Source organism: Homo sapiens, chromosome 16 (genome assembly GCF_000001405.40).
Source record: "Homo sapiens chromosome 16, GRCh38.p14 Primary Assembly".
NCBI classification, from domain to species: domain Eukaryota; kingdom Metazoa; phylum Chordata; class Mammalia; order Primates; family Hominidae; genus Homo; species Homo sapiens.
The window spans coordinates 53354451-53372048 of record NC_000016.10 but is presented as its reverse complement, the minus strand read 5'-3'; the positions used below and the strand labels follow the sequence as shown (position 1 = coordinate 53372048).

General features: G+C 45.9%; 2 pseudogenes across 1 annotated transcript; both read left to right on the top strand.

Moving 5' to 3' along the window:
- The first annotated feature begins 1055 nt into the window (after positions 1-1055).
- On the top strand, positions 1056-6658 carry MPHOSPH10P1 (MPHOSPH10 pseudogene 1; annotated as a pseudogene). Its single transcript, NR_171055.1, has 3 exons — positions 1056-1329; positions 1754-1907; positions 6020-6658. The product of NR_171055.1 is annotated as an MPHOSPH10 pseudogene 1 (transcript).
- A 1455-nt stretch (positions 6659-8113) lies between these two features.
- Positions 8114-10162, top strand: LOC101929000 (golgin subfamily A member 6-like protein 1; annotated as a pseudogene).
- Positions 10163-17598: the final 7436 nt, after the last annotated feature.

Below are 17598 nucleotides of genomic sequence, written 5' to 3'. Positions count from 1 at the left end.
ATCAACCTTCTAATCACTCTACTTTCCTCCTCCTCCTTCCTCCCTTTCTTCTTCCTTCTTGTAAATCATCATTTCATCCTTCTGCTTAAAATCTTCTCATGTTTTCTTATTACACTTAAAATGGCAAACTCTTACCCTTGAGCCCTGTAGAATTTGGCTCCCATCAGTTTCTCCAATTTCACCTTCTGCCTCCTTCACACTCTAGCTGTGCTCACTTTTTTATTCCTCAGGCCTACCAAGCTCAATTGCATCTTAGAGAATTTGTTCTTGCTGTTTCTTCTGCCTGGAATACATGTTTCCCAATCTTTATAAGACTATCCTTATCTGTAGGTTTCATCTGAGATGTCACATCCAAAAGAGGTTTTCCTTGACCACTGTAGCCAAAGCAAATGTTGATCACTGAAGGAATAAGGGAATGAATGAATGGAGTGGTGTATAATATAGCAGAGTTGATAATTTAAGGCTAATTCACTATGTATCTCCAAGCAAACAGATTTGTAATGCTTTTCCTGCCTAAAATCTATACAGCTGATTCACAAATACTTGATTGACAGGTTTTATATATCACTGTGGCTCATCAGCTTGTATGTTGTTGGGGCCAGAATCTATACTTACACTTCATTCAAATTTGATTTTACAGAAGAGTTGGGGTTTTTATTTTTCTTTTAATTAAGAGAGCTGTGAAATTATTACCTATAATTCTAAATCTCATTTAATTCCTCCCAATAGGATTCAAGATGGATTGTCATCAAAGTTCACTTCTTTAACAAAAGTGGTTTATGACTTTAATAAAATATTAGAGAATGGAAGGATCTGTGGAAGCCCTTTACAAAAACTTGTGATAGAAAGTTTTGATGATGAGCAGACTTTGCAACAACTGGAATTGCAAAATGAACCAATTTTACAATGCTTCCAAAATGCAGTTAGTGAAACAAAGATGAAGACATCAGTCTTCTCCCAGAGAGTGAAGAACAGGAGTGTGAAGAGGATGGTTCAGAGACAGAGACTGGTGGCCAGGAGGACCTAGAAGATTTACAGGAGGAAGAGGAAGTGTCAGATATGGGTGGTGACAATCCTGAAGTGGGCAAGAAAGCTAGAAACTCAAGCAAATTTGAGCTGAGGAAAAGCCCAGTTTTCAGTGATGAGGATTCTGACCTTGACTTTGATATCAGCAAATTGGAACAGCAGAGCAAGGTGCAAAACACAGGACATGGAAAACCAAGAGAAAAGTCCATAATAGACGAGAAATTCTTCCAACTCTCTGAAATGGAGGCTTATTTAGAAAACAGAGAAAAAGAAGAGGAACGAAAAGATGATAATGATGATGAGGTGGAAGATACTGATTTTTTTTTGAAGATATTGATTCTGATGAAGATAAAAGGGGACTGTTTGGAAGTAAAAAACTTAAGGTTAAGTTTGAGAAAGGAGAGAGCACTTTCCTCCTCCTCAAATTAGCTTTTGTTCTGTTTTTCTAGGAGAGATGTAATTGTAGTTAGAAGGTTTAGAGCTAAGATATATTATGCTTTGTTTTATCAGTTATAAATGAATCTGTACTTCCATTCAGTTTATGTTCCAGTTGTTCTTATAATAGTTTTATGGTAGTGTTTTTAGTTGCCAATTTCACCTAGTAACTATTTTTGACTTGTAGTGTTAAGTTAGAAAGTAATATAGACATACAGTATATATATATGCATGTGTTAATGATGTATTTTTCTATTCCTAATTAATAGTTTTAAAAATCTTTTTATTTTAGTCAGGTAAAAGTTCCAGAAATGTGAACAACAAAGATTTTTTTGATCCAGTTGAAAGTGATGAAGACATAGCAAGTGATCATGATGATGAGCTGGGTTCAAACAAGATGATGAAATTGCTGAAGAAGAAGCAGAAGAAGGAAGCATTTCTGAAATGTGAGTATTTTGAAACATCCTTTACTTTGTGAGCTGGAATTGCCCAATCAGTGTTTGTATTTGTGGTTTTCACATATGTTTGTTTTAAGAAGTTAGATACTCTCCTATCAGATCTTCTCAAGATAGCCAGAGGAAAGTCACTGGATTTAAACGGACATTAGAGATCATTTAATGAAGAAAAATATTACTGACAGTAGCAATCAAACCTTTCTTACCAGGAACTTTGATTTGGTTTTGTGCCCCCAAAATCCTGTTATTTTTGTGAGATAAGAGGTTTGTATTATAGATTGATGAATAATTTATTTTCTATATATTGGACCCTTTTTGTTTCTTACATAGCATTTCACTTAAATGATAGCTTCTCTTCCTTAATACCTGAATGATTTTGGAAGTTCTAAGTATCTGGTTGCATTAGGCATATAAAAGAGGAACTTTGTTAAGGGAAAATATGTTTCCTTTTGTTTTTCTAATGGAAAACAATATATTTCTTTTTATAAGAGTTTTGGTAGTGTAGGGATGAAGGTGATCACCTGGAAGAAAGAGAAGACAGTAAACAATGTAAAGAAAGCTTGAAAAGAGTGACTTTTGCTTTGCCGGATGATGAGGCAACTGAAGATGCAGGTGTTTTAAATGTAAAGAAAAATTCTGATGAAGTTAATCTTCTTTTGAAAAAAGACAGGAAAAGGTAATTAGGAATTTAAGGAATTTTTAATATGCTTCGCATGATTGTGGAACTCACAGACTACTAACAAATCTTCCCTATTTTCTTTCTTTTTTTTTTGAGATGGAGTCTTGCTCTGTCACCCAGGCTGGAGTGCAATGGCGTGATCTCGGCTCACTGCAGCCTCCACCTCCCGGGTTCAAGTGATTCTGCCTCAGCCTCCTGAGTAGCTGAGATTAAAGGTGCATTCCACCATGCCTGGCCAATTTTTGTATTTTTAGAAGACATGGGGTTTCACCGTGTTGGCCAGGCTGATCTCGAACTCCTGACCTCAGGTGATCCTCCTGCCTTGGCCTCCCAAAGTGCTGAGATTACAGGCGTGAGCCACTGTGCCCTAGCCTTCCCTATTTTTCTTGTTGTAACTATTAACCATCCTTTGAAAACAAATATCTTGGCCAGGTGTGGTGGTTGATGCCTGTAATCCTAGCACTTTGGTAGTCTGAAGCGGGAGGATCACTTGAGCTCAGGAGTTCAAGACCAGCCTGGGCAACATAGTGAGGCCCTGTCTCTACAAAAAATAAAAAAATTAGTGGGGCATGGTGGTGTATGCCTGTAATCCAGCGACTCAGGTGGCTGAGGCGGGAGGATCACTTGAGCCCAGGAGGTTGATGCTGCAGTGAGCTATGATCACATCACTGCTTTCCAGCCTGGGTGGTGGAGCAAGATCCTGTCTTCAAACAAACAAACAAACAAACAAACAGAAAACTGAAGATCTTGCTGCTACTCTCTAAAGCAAAAGCACATCTTATAGAGATGCCATATGGAAAGCATCTGATTTGCAGAAATCAGTGCCTGCGTTACCCAGCCTATAGCTTTCAATTTGGGGCCTGCGTGTAAAATAGTTGTTTCTTTTCTCTCTCCCTTGTGTCTTTATATGTATAGCCTGTCTCTCCTGACAAAGCTGTCCTGAGAGCCTCTTCTTGTAACTGTTTTGACTGCTCTAGAGGATACCGCCTATGTCTTTAAGGTGCTCCACAGATTTTGGTGAATGTCAAATAGCTGTAATTTTAATTAATACCAGGACAAACATATCTTCCCAAAGTATGTCATGATTTCAGACAAGTGAAATCTCATTAATTTTAGTAGATATAGTCTGGCTCCAATAATTTGGCTATATTATTTATCCAATCCCAAAATTTTATTATAATAAAAATGAGAATAGTGCCAGGCACAGTAGCTCACACTTGTAATCCCAGCACTTTGGGAGACTGAGGAGGGAGGATTGCTTGAGCCCAAGTGTTCAAGACCAGCATGGACAACACGGTGAAACCCCGTCTCCACTACAAATTTAAAAAATTAGCTGGGTGTGGTAGCATGAGCCTATAGTCTCTGCTACTCGAGAGGCTTATCGGGGATGATCACTTGAGTCCAGCAGTTCAAGGCTGCAGTGAGCTATGATTGGACTAGGCACTCCAGCCTGGGCAACAGAGCTGGAGAACAGGCAAATAAACTATACCAAGAATATCAAAAGAATTATTTTTAAAATCTGCGAATCTAAATTAAATTCATCGTTGTCAGATTGTCCCAAGAAAATAAATTCTAAAGGGGGAAAAAAACCATAAAGTATCAATGAGTTAGTGTCCTCCCATCCCACTCCTCCCACCCTTCCCCCACAAAAAAGAAAGAAAGGTTTGGTTTTGCTTTGAAATTATATCAGACCTTCAAGTGAAATTTTCAGTAAATCACAAATAATTTATTGCAATTTCCACAGATAAAGAATAAAATAGAACTTTCAAACTTTTTTCTTTTCAAACTGTTAGAACATGAAAACCCAAACCTGACAAAGGTGGCGTTAAAACACACACACTCTCTCATTCATGACTAGTGATGCAAACATAGCACAGTGGGAAAATTATGCCACACAACCACATGAACCTTATCCTTTTGAATCACTATTAGAAGATCTGATATGATTCCTGGTTGCAAGACGTTAAGGAGAAAATACACGGTTCCCTCCATATATGTTAGAAAGACATTTGATAAAATTCAATATTTATTTCTGATTTTTTTTTAACTCCTAGTGGGTTATAAATACATCTAGCCAAAAGCTGCCATCATGCATGATGGGTGAAATTCTACAAACATCCCTTTAAGATCAGGAATAAGACAAAATGTCCAGTATTACAGTTACCCCTGTTAATTAACACTAACAGTTAATAGCCACATAAGCCAGTGCAACTACAAAAGATAAGAGATTAGGAAAACTTCCAGGAGCAGTGGTTCACACCTGTAATCCCAGCACTTTGGGAGCTCAGGAGCTCTCAGCACTTGAGCTCAGGAGTTTGAGACCAGCCCAGGCAACATGGTGAGACCTCATCTCTGCAAAAAAATACAAAATTAGCTGGGCGCGTTACATGTGCCTGTGTCCCAGCTACTTGGGAGTCTGAAGTGAGAGGACTGCTTGAGCCTGGGAGATGGAGGTTGCAATGAGCTGAGATAGTGCAGCTGTACTCCAGCCTGGGCAACAGAGCGAGACTCTGTCTCAAAAAAAAAAAAAAAAAAAAAAAGATTAGGGATACTAAAATGAAAACATTAGTGTTTGGAGAGAAAACCGAAAGGATAAACTGAATCAATATTAGGAAAATAAGAGAATTCTGTAAGTTAGCTGAAAAAGCTGGCATTTTATACACTGAAGTCATAATTGTTGTCTTTTAGAAGTTAGAGATAATAAGAATTTGAGTTTAAAGTCAAAAGGGTCAGACTCCATCAAATACTAATATCCTAATCAAAGAATTACTTGGCCAGGTGTGGTGGCTCACGCCTGTAATCTCAGCACTTTGGGAGGCCAAGGTGGGTGGATCACGAGGTCAGGAGATCAAGACCATCCTGGCTAACATGATGAAACCCCATCTCTACTAAAAATACAAAAAATTAGCCAGGCGTGGTGGCGGGTGCCTGTAGTCCCAGCTACTCCAGAGGCTGAGGCAGGAGAATGGCTTGAACCCGGGAGGAGGAGCTTGCAGTGAGCTGAGATCATGCCACTGCACTCCAGCCTGGCCAACAGAGTGAGAGACTCCATCTAAAAAAAAAAAAAAAAAAAGAATTACTTAACTTTAGGATGCTCTAATAATCAAAATTGATAGTGGCTTGTGAACAGATAGATCACTTGAATAGAATAGAGCCCAGAAATAAACCCAAATGCTTCTGAGGGAGTTTAGTATATTATAAACATGAAATTTTAAATAAATGAGGATAAGAAATTATTTGCAGCTCACCTCACCATAGGCAGCAGGAATAGGAGGTCATTGGCAGAATAAAAAGATGGTAAGAACAGAACAGAATTATAGAACAGTACATTTTTTGCTTCCCCACTTTTCAAAGTATTTTTTGTTTTTACACAAGTATAATTTTATTTTCTAAATGTATACTAATTTTTTTGTCTCTTTCTTAGATGAATGAAAAAAATTACATCTTTAGAAAAAGAGTTATTAGAAAAAAGCCTTGGCAGCGTCGGGGGGAAGTGACAGCACAGAAGAGACCAGAGAATAGCTTCCTGGAGGAGACCCTGCACTTTAACCATGCTGTCTGGATGGGTACAGTGCCCTCTTCTGCAAAGAGTTCACTTCTATGCTTTTTCTGTGGTTCCATTTCATAGAAAGATTTGGGGCGATGTTTCTTTTCCCTTAACTTTTTATTTTAAAAACTTGCAAACACAGAAAAGTTGATAAAATCATACAGTGAACATCTGTATTCTATTCAACTGGATTCACTAGTTCACATTTTGTCATATTTGTGTTCTCTTTTCCCCATATGGAAGATTGTATATTTGCCCTTTTTCCCCCTGAATCATTTCAAAGTAAGTTGCCAGTATCATAGCATTTCACTGTTAAGTACTTTTGCAGATATCTCCTAAGAACCAGGATATTCTCCTATATAATCACAATACCATTAATCCACCCAAAACATTTAACATCAGTACACTAATGATACCTACTGTATAGATTATAATCAGCTTCCTTGCAGTAATCTGTTTAGAAGACTTGCATCCTGTCACTGTCCACTGATTAAATTTTGAACTCTTAACTTGAAACCCTGGTCATCTCATTGCCTTCTTTTTTATACCCATTAAGTCAAAATAAGTTTTCATTTTATTTCAACAGAAAAGAGAATGGAAAAGAGGGGAAGAGTCCCTGGTACCTTGGATAAAGTATGAGCACTTACTACCATATGTATTCTAGTTCTGTAGTTTTCAAACTTCAGGGAGCATCTCAAGGCTTATTAAAGCACAGATAGCTGTCCCTCTTCCCCACTTTCTGATTCAGGAAGTGTGGGGCTGGTCCAGGAATTTGCATGTCTAACAGGTTCCCACGTGTTGCTGATGCTGAGGGTCTAAGGACTACAATGCGAGAATCAGTGGTTTAGTGGATATCTATCTAATGAATACATGTTATATTTCCTTTAGCACTTGTGATTACAGGGGAAACACCTTTCAACTGTAATCAGTTATTACAGTTATTATTATTAACTGTAATATATTAACTGTAATTATTATTAACTGTATATTATACAGTTAATAATATATATTAACTGTATGTTATACAGTTAATAATATATATTAACTGTATATATAACTGTATATTAACTGTATATTATTATTAACTGTAATATATTAACTGTAATCTGTTAATATATCATTAAACAGAAGATAAGAGATCAGGTCAGTAAGAATTAAATTTAACTTAATTGAAATGTCACTGAAATTTTTAAAAATAATATGACAGGCTAGGCACAGTGGCTCATGCCTGTAATCCCAGCACTTTGGGAGGCCAAGGCAGATGGATCACTTGAGGTCAGGAGTTCGAGACCAGCCTGTCCAAGATGGTAAAACTCCCTCTCTACTAAAAATACAAAAATTAGCTGGGCATGGTGGTGCATGCCTGTAGTCCCAGCTACTCAGGAGGCTGAAGCAGGGGAATCGCTTGAACTCAGAAGATGGAGGTTGCAGTGAGCTGAGATGCGCCACTGCACTCCAGCCTGGGCAACAGAGCGAGACTCCATCTCAAAATAAATACATAAATAAATAAAATAAAAAGAAAAAATAAAGGGAAGATGGGGCAGTTTTGTGAACTGCACGTCCTGAAACTGGGCTGATTTCCCTCAAGAGGCAGGGATTTAAGCTCATCTCATCTCAACCTGGGGTAATTTGAGTGCCACAGGATAAATATGGGGCATCTTTCTGAAGCATCAGTTTCCCTTGATTCTATTGAGAGACAAAACATTAATGTACTTAGGCATGACAGTCACATAGATTTATGAGTATACAAGACTTCTCTCTGAAATGAGGCTTGGGTTATCCTCTTTCTGTTAAATTCCCAGATTTAACAGAAAGGCTGCCTTCTGCCATGAGGATACATTGATGTAAAAGTTTGAGAGGTACTGGTGCACTTCTTAACACTAACAGATGTGTGAGGGTGTATGGCTCTAAACCACACAGTATACAGTTTCTGCCTACTTAATATTTGCTTTTCTACCTCTGCCTCTGGTTTTGGTCCCTGGCAGCTGCTGATTTGTGGCAAAATCCTGGAGCTCGGAGTCAGAAGACTGAGTTTAAGTTCCATTATTGCCTTTTTTTCAGCCATGGTATCAATCCCTCTCAGTCACTAAGTGATTGTGACAACACTTCCTACAGTTCTTGGTGGCATTAAATCAGATGGTCTATAATAGTATTTTGTATAAACTGTAAAGCAGGATGTGACTGTAGGAGCTTGTAGCTCTCATGAGTATCACTGCTCTTCCTTTCCACAGTTGAGAGACTCTCCTCCCCAGACCAGCCCTAGTGTTGGTACAGGAGCAACCGACACCAAAAAGAAGAAAATAAATAATGGCACTAACCCTGAGACAACCACTTCTGGTGGTTGCCACTCACCTGAGGATGTGAGTCTTGGCTGGCCAGGCTCCTGGAGACAGAGGGCCCAAGGGGTGGTGGAGGGTAATTGTTAAGATTGTGGAAGAACTGCCAGGTACCGGTTAAGAATTCTGGGTTTGAATCCTGCCTCTCCATCTGCTAGGGATATGATTTAGGGCAAATTGCTTGAGCTCTTTGGGCCTCTCTTTTCACATCTGTAAAATAGGAGTGGTATTGTTTTCCTTACATTTGTGAAGTTTAAATGAGATTTGTCATTGTTGTTTTTATGTTAATCCCTAGTCCAGGCCCTGCTGTAAACTATCCTTCTTGGGCTTGCGTTTCCTGAGGTAGAGTTAGAGAGTATCAGAGGTTTCTGTTAGCTCTGAGAGTCTGAGAGTTAAAGGCTGACTAGAATGGAAACCCTGGGGCCAAGGGCTCCTGTCTGCCTTTTCCGTCCTATATCCTTCCTGTGAAGAACAGTCCCTGGCCAGTATGTGCTCAGTCAATGTTTGTTGAGTGAATGCATCTTTCTAAATCACAAGCTGGCAGAAGGGTGGGCTTTTCTCACACTCTATCTCTGAAGGTTTATGTTACTGTCTTTTTGAGAGAATCTAGTTTCAGACTTTCAGTTCTGTGGCTGTGGGCAAAAACCAACAAAGACCCAAATCCTTTTTCTTTGGGAGTTGAGGAGAGTTTACCAGTTCATGTTCCCATTGGGTCTGAGAACTTTGCCTTTAAAATCCATTCCTGGCCCCTGCCTATGGCTTCCTGGCCTGGGGAATAGAGTCAAGGGAGCCACCCTCAGTCGCATTCCTTTGACTCTCCCCATAGAAACAACAGAACCGAGCTCAGCTGGAAGAAGTAACGTGATTTCTGTTTGCTCATGACATGACTGCTGGGTTTGGGGGGCACTCAGATGTAGAGGCCCCAGTCTTGTCTCATCCACTCCCAGGCTGAGGAAGAAGGCTCACCCCCCAGATTCCACCCCATCCCCACAGGGTCCCTGATAACCTTGTCCCATGGGTGGGCCTGTCCTGGGGCAGTGGTGCCATTCTGGGGGCATGTCTCTTGCTGTGCCATCTCTGCCTCCCCCTAGTAAGAGCTCTGTCTTCCTCTTTCTATAGGAAAAGAAGGCAAGCCACCAACATCAGGAAGCCCTAAGGAGGGAGCTAGAGGTGAGTGGAGGGTGTGAAGTTCCCTCCTGTCCTCTGGAGAATGTTTCTTTGCTTCTCTTTCAGCACTTGCTTGTCTTTTCTCCCAAAGGCCCAGGTTCATACCATACGAATCCTTACATGTCAGAAAACTGAGCTTCAGACAGCACTCTATTACAGCCAGCATGCTGCCAGGCAGTTGGAAGGTGGGAATCTGGCACCCCATCATCCTTCAGCCTGGCACTTTGATAGGCCTTTAGGGGGAGTCCTTTGGGCCGCATCTGAATGTCTGTCATTCCAGGAGAGTCCAGGGATCTGGTCAGCTGCCTGCATGATTCATGGAAGTTTGCAGGAGAGTTAGAGCGGGCTCTCTCTGCTGTCACTACACAGAAGAAGAAGGCGGACAGGGTGAGTCCAACCACCTGCCCCATCCCCTGGGACCCCACCTTTGCAGATAGAGGAGTGAGCCTAAAGGTCCTTTCTGTAGGATGGAGTGTCCTGCCCAGAAGGCAGCATGGCCATTTCTTGCTGCTTTTGTGTGTGGTTGTTAGAGGCAAACTGGGGCTGAGTCAGCTGCTGTGGGTGAGTTGGGGGACACGGGGGACACTGTGGGGAGTGAGCACTGGACATAGAGCTCAGAGGCCAAGTGCCCGCCCTGCCCATACTTAGCCATGGCCTTGACCAAGTACTAAGTGGTGGTTAGAGTACTTGTACCATAAAGGTACAGAAGAGTATCTTGAGTATGTTATTATTTGTGTGGAGAGAGGGAGCACGTATATGTGTGTGTGTGTGTGTGTGTGTGTATTATGGTAATATACATAAAACATGTTTGTAAGGATTCATAAAATACTCAGGAGAGAGGAACAGTGTTGGGGGGGAGATATTTCCCTTTTGTACTTTCTAAGTTTTGGACTATGCAAACATATCATCCTTTCAAAAAGTCAATAAAAGATTAATTTCCTCCTTCTTGTCTGTGCCCCTACCCTCAGCAAAAGAATGGGCTTAGAGAATCAGATATACCGGGGTGTTGAAATCCCAGCTCTAAGTGATCTTAGGCAAGCACTTAACCTTTAATACCGCATGTTTTTCATCTACACAATAGAGGTAATAATGGTAACCATCTCCTATGGAGGTTGTGAGGATTAAATGGGATTGTTAGCATAGTGCCTGGTGAAGCACTCAATAACGGTTCCAACAGTGGTAGTAATAACAGTAATAACAATGGCAATATTATCTGATCTCTCTGGGCCCCTGTTAGCCAGCTATCAATTCAATCTCTTTCCCTGTCCCTTCCACCTTAGTAGAGTTCTTTGAAAACAAATGAGGGCCGGGTGCCCTGGCTCACGCCTGTAATGCCAGCTGTTTGGGAGGCCGAGGTGGGCGGATCACATGAGGTCGGGAGTTCAAGACTAGACCGGCCAACATGGAGAAACCCCATCTCTACTAGAAATGCAAAAGTAGCTGGGTGTGGTGGCACATGCCTGTAATCCCAGCTACTTGGGAGGCTGAGGTAGGAGAATCGCTTGAACCCAGGAGGCAGAGGTTGTGGTGAGCCGAGATTGCGCCATTGCACTCCAGCCAGGGCAACAAAAGTGAAACTCTGCCTCAAAAAAAAAAAAAAAAAAAAAAAAAAATCCTATCCGGCACTCCCCCAGCAGCTGATGAACGTGCTGAGGACATTGGTCCAGGATTCTGGCCTCCCCAAAAGAGCTGCTTTGACAAGCCTGCTTGCCTTACCCAGCACTAAATCCCTGCCTGCTCTATCAAAATTTCCATCTCTAAACTGGTTGTACCTATAACCCTCCCTCACCAAGTCAATAGATAAACAAACCCTGAAAAATCAGCACCCCTTCCTGGCCCAGCAGCCCACTGCCTAATATTTACTGTGTACCCAAGCTTTCAGAAATGGAACTCACCTGCTGGTTCACCCTCATTAGGGTGGCAGCTGCACGGGAGCAGCTGGGCTCACCCATTAAGCAAGAAGCCAATGGCTGGACAGTGACACTCAGACCCCAGTCTGGGCGAGCCTGGCTGAAAGCCCCCTTCTTTCTGATCTGACTGTGGAGAGAGGGGGTGGAGCATACACAACTCTACTGCCCTTCGCATCCTTCAGCTGTGCTTCCTCCTGAGAGAGGGAGCCGTTCATTAATTTGGCCAAAGAGTTCTTGGGGTCTGTAGGTTTGACAGGCTGGGTGTGTGGGGGCCACCGTGCTAGAGAGAGAGGCTGGTGTGTCAGAAGGCAGCCACTTGGCCAGAGGAGGGTCAGCCCCCTTGGTGACCTCCTTCCCCCGGCTGGACACAGTGGCCTGCACTCTCCACATGTGACTGCTCCTCTCAGAGCTGCCTCCAGGGGAGGAGTTCTAACCCTGTGGGTTGGGACATTGTGTTAGTTTACAGTGGGCCATGGCTCCCTCTGTCATCTCCAACTCAGAGGCAGTAGAGAGAAGATGAGAAATTCCCTGCACCTCCTCCCTCCTCAGCACCCCTATCTCTGCACACATCCACATATGGAGACCCTGACAATGGTCCCTGGGAGTGCCACCATCTGCGCCTCCTTTCCATGCCTGCAGCAGCCATGACCACTCTCCAGACCCTTACCACCTGACTCAGTAGGCACTGAACTGCCTGTGGTCCTGCCCCTACACCTGGGCCACTGTACCCGTCAGTTCCCCCAGTTTGGTTCTTATTTCCCCCAACAAGTAGGGAGCCTGTAAGGTCACCTGTTGAGCAAGCTGGGGGAGAGAGTAGGGTGGGGCTGGGAGGATGAGGAGGAGAAGCTTATAGTCGTGCTGGAGACTCAGCTGAGCAGAGTCTATGCAGGCCCATTGGCTGCCTAGCCAGTGGTGATCCCGCTCCCACCCTCATTTCTTCTTTGTTAAGAAAACCATGACCTCATTAAATATTGGACACCTATAAACCTCAGGGACCTTCCTCCAGCCTCCCCGCCACGTATTGGTGAGTCTAAGTCAACTCTGGTCATTTCATTCCTCTGGACATTGATTGCTTGAGGCTTGGGCATGAGCTGCCTCTTCATCTGAGCCTGAGCCACAGGTGCCCTCTGCACTTACCACACTGATGCACTGCGCCAGGGAGAGCTCTGTCTCGATGGAGATGAGCTGTGAGGAGCTGGTGGCTGGGCAGATCAGGTTGTTGTAACGGGTTTTGTTCAGAAGGTCGTCCATCAGCTTCTGCTCAGCATGAGCCATGCGGCAGTCCCCTGGGTAAACACACAGACATGCTGGGCCCTTGTGCAGCTGTCCCACACTGCAGATGACAGCTACAAAGCAGGAGCCAAGAGGGCCAGGGAGCACAGGCACCCCGGGGGCCGGCTGAAGCAGTGAAGGTGCTGGCGGACCAGGCTCTCCCTGGGGACTTCAAATGACATTCATGACAGAGCTCAGCTACTTCCGCCCATGCCACACCTCTTCCTCCTCCTCCTCCCTCGATCAATGAACAGCATCCCACGCTCTACACATCTGATACAAAACTGGGTGTCTCTTCCAGACCCCTCCCTTGGTTCATCCAAGTGGCCACCAAGTCCTGTCTGTCCTCCCATCTCCATGGCTACAGCCATGTCCCTGCCTCCTCCGCCCTGCCCACCTTCTGCTCTCCCCACCTGCACTCTGCCCCTGCCATCCATGTGCCATACAGTGGAAGACTGGTCTTTCTACAGCAAACTGGACTAGGGCCCTTCCCTAAACACAGCTCTCAGAGCTGGAGGTGAAGTTGAAACTCATGTTTTGGCTGGGCAGGCAGAGCTCTTTCCCCCTCGGCACTGGCTTATCCAGAGTGCTCACAGTGCAGGGCAGGAGCCCCATGACTCAAATGTGGGTTTGGTGCAGAACTGGGTCTGAGGTGGTGCTTTCCCTAAGAAGAGACAGGGCTGACATGGGGGGATTTTCTGGGTTCAGAGTTAGACCTACAGAGTGCAAGGTTTCTCTGAGGCACCAAATGGCGGGGTCCAGCTGGCAGCTGGCTCCTGGTCTGGAGCTTCAAGGAGAGGTCTCAGCTCAGAGCCACATTCAATAGCCAGCTTACATGCAGCTTCCTGCAGGGAGCCACTGGAGCTTCTACAGCCTCAGATCTGCCCCTTTGCATACCCCAGAACTCTTGCCAAGTGGCGTTTGGGTCTTTATGTCATGTCCCTCCCATGTCTGGGAGTAAAGGTGAGGTGCAGGGACTTGAGCTTCTGTACTCTGGTGTCTTAAGGGACAGTGTGTCCAGTAGAGTGGAGGCGGCTTGGAAAGAGGGAGACTCAGAGGAAAGTGAAGGACACGTGACCAGGCGAGCCTGGGAGCAGGAAAAGAGAGGAGAGTGAGCAGAGAAGAGTGAGCAGAGGAGACTGCTGGGGCAGGGGAGGGGATGGGAGGATCAGGGAATGAGGGGGGCTGGAGAGGTGGGGGTGAGGATGCTCATTGGGGGCTACCTAGCTCACCAGGCTCAGGAGTCAGTTACATCCTTCCACAAAGGCCAGCTCACCTGGTCACCCCAAAGCCCTCCCTCTGTGGGTGGGACCAGAGGGCCCAGAGCACGGATGACCCAATTGAGCAGGACTCAGGTGGACTCAGGTGGGTGCTGGGCTGGACTCCTGGCTGTGGGGAGCAGCCACCACCCTGCCTACTGCATCCATGTTCCAACTCGCTGCCTATCAGAGCAGAGGCATTATTGGGCACCTTGCGAAACATGCTTCTGGTGCACCTGCTGCCTGCTGCCCCTCCTGCAGAGTGCCCGGGCTCTCCAGAGGGGATTCCTGTGGAGGGTTGGCTTAGATTCTGAGTCCTGCTTCTCACACCCAGGGCTGCTACCCCAGAGGCCAGCTGCTTGAGTACCCTGGAAGCCAGTTTGTAACCCCAGGCTACAGCTGGGTCCATCCCACAGCCCTTCTTTAGTGTATCTATTTGTACTGCCTGCTCATTTCATAGAGAGGGGTGTGTCTTGCCCCAGCCCATCTGGCATGTCTAAGGCAGCTGTGGGGTCAGAATCTGCAGCTCCCAGCCCCCAGCCCTGCAATCGTAGGAGAGGCTGGACCCCACATCTCTCAAGTCCCACTGGGCTGGTGTGAGCGGGCTCCCGAGTCCAGGGCTGCTCTGCAGGCTGTGGGGCTCATGCACCAGCTCTGAGCCCACCTGATGTGCTCAGGTTGCCCACCTTTGGGTCTGTCCTGCCTCTCAGGCGTGCGGCTGACCCTCAGGGCCTCTCCCTCATCTGACTTAGAGGTTCCCAGAACCTTAGACCATTTGCCCCCACCCCATTTCTCAGCTGAGGAAACTGAGACCCAAGAGGGGAAGCAACTTTCTCAAGAACCCCGACCAAACCAGAGGCAGAGCCAGGTCTAGGAGTCTCTTCTCAACAGAGGTTCTCCCTGTCCCCTGAGCTTTCTTTGGTGCCCATTAACTTCCCTGCAAGGAAACTGCCCTGCTGAGTCTGGAAATGGTGCTGTCCAGGGTGGCGTGTGCCCATGACTGCACCTGTGTTTGTACTTGTGAGTGTGTATGGGGGTGGGGATGAGGGGTGGGAATAAACAGCAGAGATGCTGGGGGCTGGAATGCACTCCACCTAACCCCAAAAAGGGGCACAGGAGAGCCCAGCCAAGCACAGCACATGCTTCGACTTTCCAATCTGCTGAATGACTGGGAGGCCAGCTGGGCTCAGAGGACAAGGGACAGGTCTTTCCCCCACAGATCACAGGGGTGGCCCAGGATGAGTGGAAGCTTCTGCTGCAGCTTTGGGGGTTACATCCCAGCCCATGGGCTGACAGTTAAGCAGAAAAGCCACCTCTAGGGGTCAGTCATGATCTAGTGATTCTGATGAGGAGGGGGCCCCACCAGCCTCTGTCCAGAGTCTTGTCTGGAAAAACTGCTCCCTGGCAGAAACGGGCTAATAATTTGAGAGGAAGCCATAGCTGAAATTCTCAACTGTGTGAGTGTGTGTCCAGTTTGAAAAAGCATATCCAACTTAAACATTTATATTGAAAAAATGGAAAGCTATTCCCCTTGTTTTGGAATACAAACTACAGAAAGTAACAGTTAACAGAATCATATTGGAAAGGTCAAATTCTGCATCTGGAAAGGCACAGTGATTTTCAACTGGGTTGTGTGTCCTTAACTGAGGAAGGGAAGATGAGATTTATGTTTAGTAAAAGGCAGCTATGGATTTATTTTTTATAAGGAGCTTGCCATATACTATTAGTGCTTTTTCAATCATGTCAGAATCAGCTGGATGCCTGTGGAAATGCAAATTCCCAGGCTTCCTTCCCAGAGATTCTGGTCCTGTGAGCCTAGGGTGGGGCCCAGAAATCGCTATGGGGTGGTACAGGCTGCCCCAGGACCACACCTAAGAAACACTGCAACTGGCCCCCACACACATCCAAGTCCCCAAATTTGTAGGCAGACATCTTATCTCCATAGAACAGATAGGGAAACTGAGGTCCAGAGTGGGGAAAGAAATGTCACGGGGTCACCCAGCAAGTAGTAGCAGAGCCACAATACACCCACTGCCTGCAGACACCATCTCTGATGACAGCTCCACCTCCCTACAGGAACCTTGCCTACCCCCACCCCTACCTCCTCCTGCCCCTATCGGGGGTCTCTGTCCAAGGAAGATGTACCCCTGGTCTTCTAGGCTGACTGGGGCTCAGAGGAAAAGCTTGGCCCAGAGTGTAGGAGCTAGAAGGATCCTTGGAATTCAGATGGGGAAACTGAGGCCCAAAGAAGGCAGTCCTCACATTTGAACTCTGTCTGGAGAAGGGCTGGGTCTCCTTCCTGAGTGGTAGGTTTGACTTCACCAGCCTGGCCCTCGGTCATGCTGTCTGTCCAGGTCTGCCACACCTCGGGGTGGGTGACCAGAGGTGGCAGTGCCATAAAACGCGTTTCCTGGGAAATCCACCCCCAAACCTCAAAGCATTCCAGGGCTGGTGATTTGGGTACGCTCCCTTCCCTCTTGGCCCAGTTTCCCCATCTCTACAATAGCTGTGTTGGTGGAGACTTCTCTCTGAGACCGAGCTGCAGATTTTCTCCCAGATGCCTACACCGCCCAGCTTGCTGGCTCCTCTGTGTCCACTCTTCAAGACAGTCACCTCTTAGGTGAGGAAGGACCCTCGGCCCTATCGGGAGTGGGGACCGGTGCACCCCCAGCCTCCCAGACCGCTGGGGATGACCCGGGCTGCCTGCAAAGCCGGTGCCATCCAGCGCCACTGCTCAGGCCACAGACACCCACCAGGGAAGGTGGCCTTGGCCCTCACAGCGGCTCTGAGAAGAGGCAGCCCTCACTCCAAGCCTTGCCGAGCCACCCACACCTTTTTCAGCTCAAAGAGGCTTTTAGGAAAGTGAATCATCTCAAGTTCATACCCATGGGGTTGCTAAAAGAAAGGACAGTGCGGGGTGAGCTGGAGCAAGGGAGTGTTGCTGTCTGCAGACTTTGCAGGGAGGACACTTAGGAAAAGGGACTGAAACTGGAAGGGTGACTAGCACAGAGTTAAAAGGAGGGGATGGAGCTAGAGTGAGCTGGCCTCATCCTCCCTCTTGTGCCTTCCAGCCTGGGCTCAGGTGACTCAAGGGAGAAAGCACCTTCCTCTCCCCGCCAGGGAGGTCTCGCCATGTTTTGGAATCAGTACCATTCCCTTGGGGCTGGGGGGCAGCCCCCATCTCTGGACCTGGCTGGAACTGCTGCCTCAATTCTGGATCCAAAAGGGTCCCTGGCAGCTTCTCCACCTCCTTCTCAGTCCAGACCACCCCTCCCCAGTGAGGGCCCCAACAGCAAATCTGACAACTGGAGGAACAAGGCAGGAAGGGCAAGGTCTGAGGGAGTGACCACCTTCAAAAGGCAGCTTTGCCACCTTCTCTCCAGGACTCTCAGGCTTGCTTTCATATTGCTCCCTTAACATCCTTTTGCTATAATCTGGCATGTTGACATACGGTCTTTAAAAACAACAACACTGTTGATGTGGAGCAGACTTCCCATTTGGGATGGTTTGGA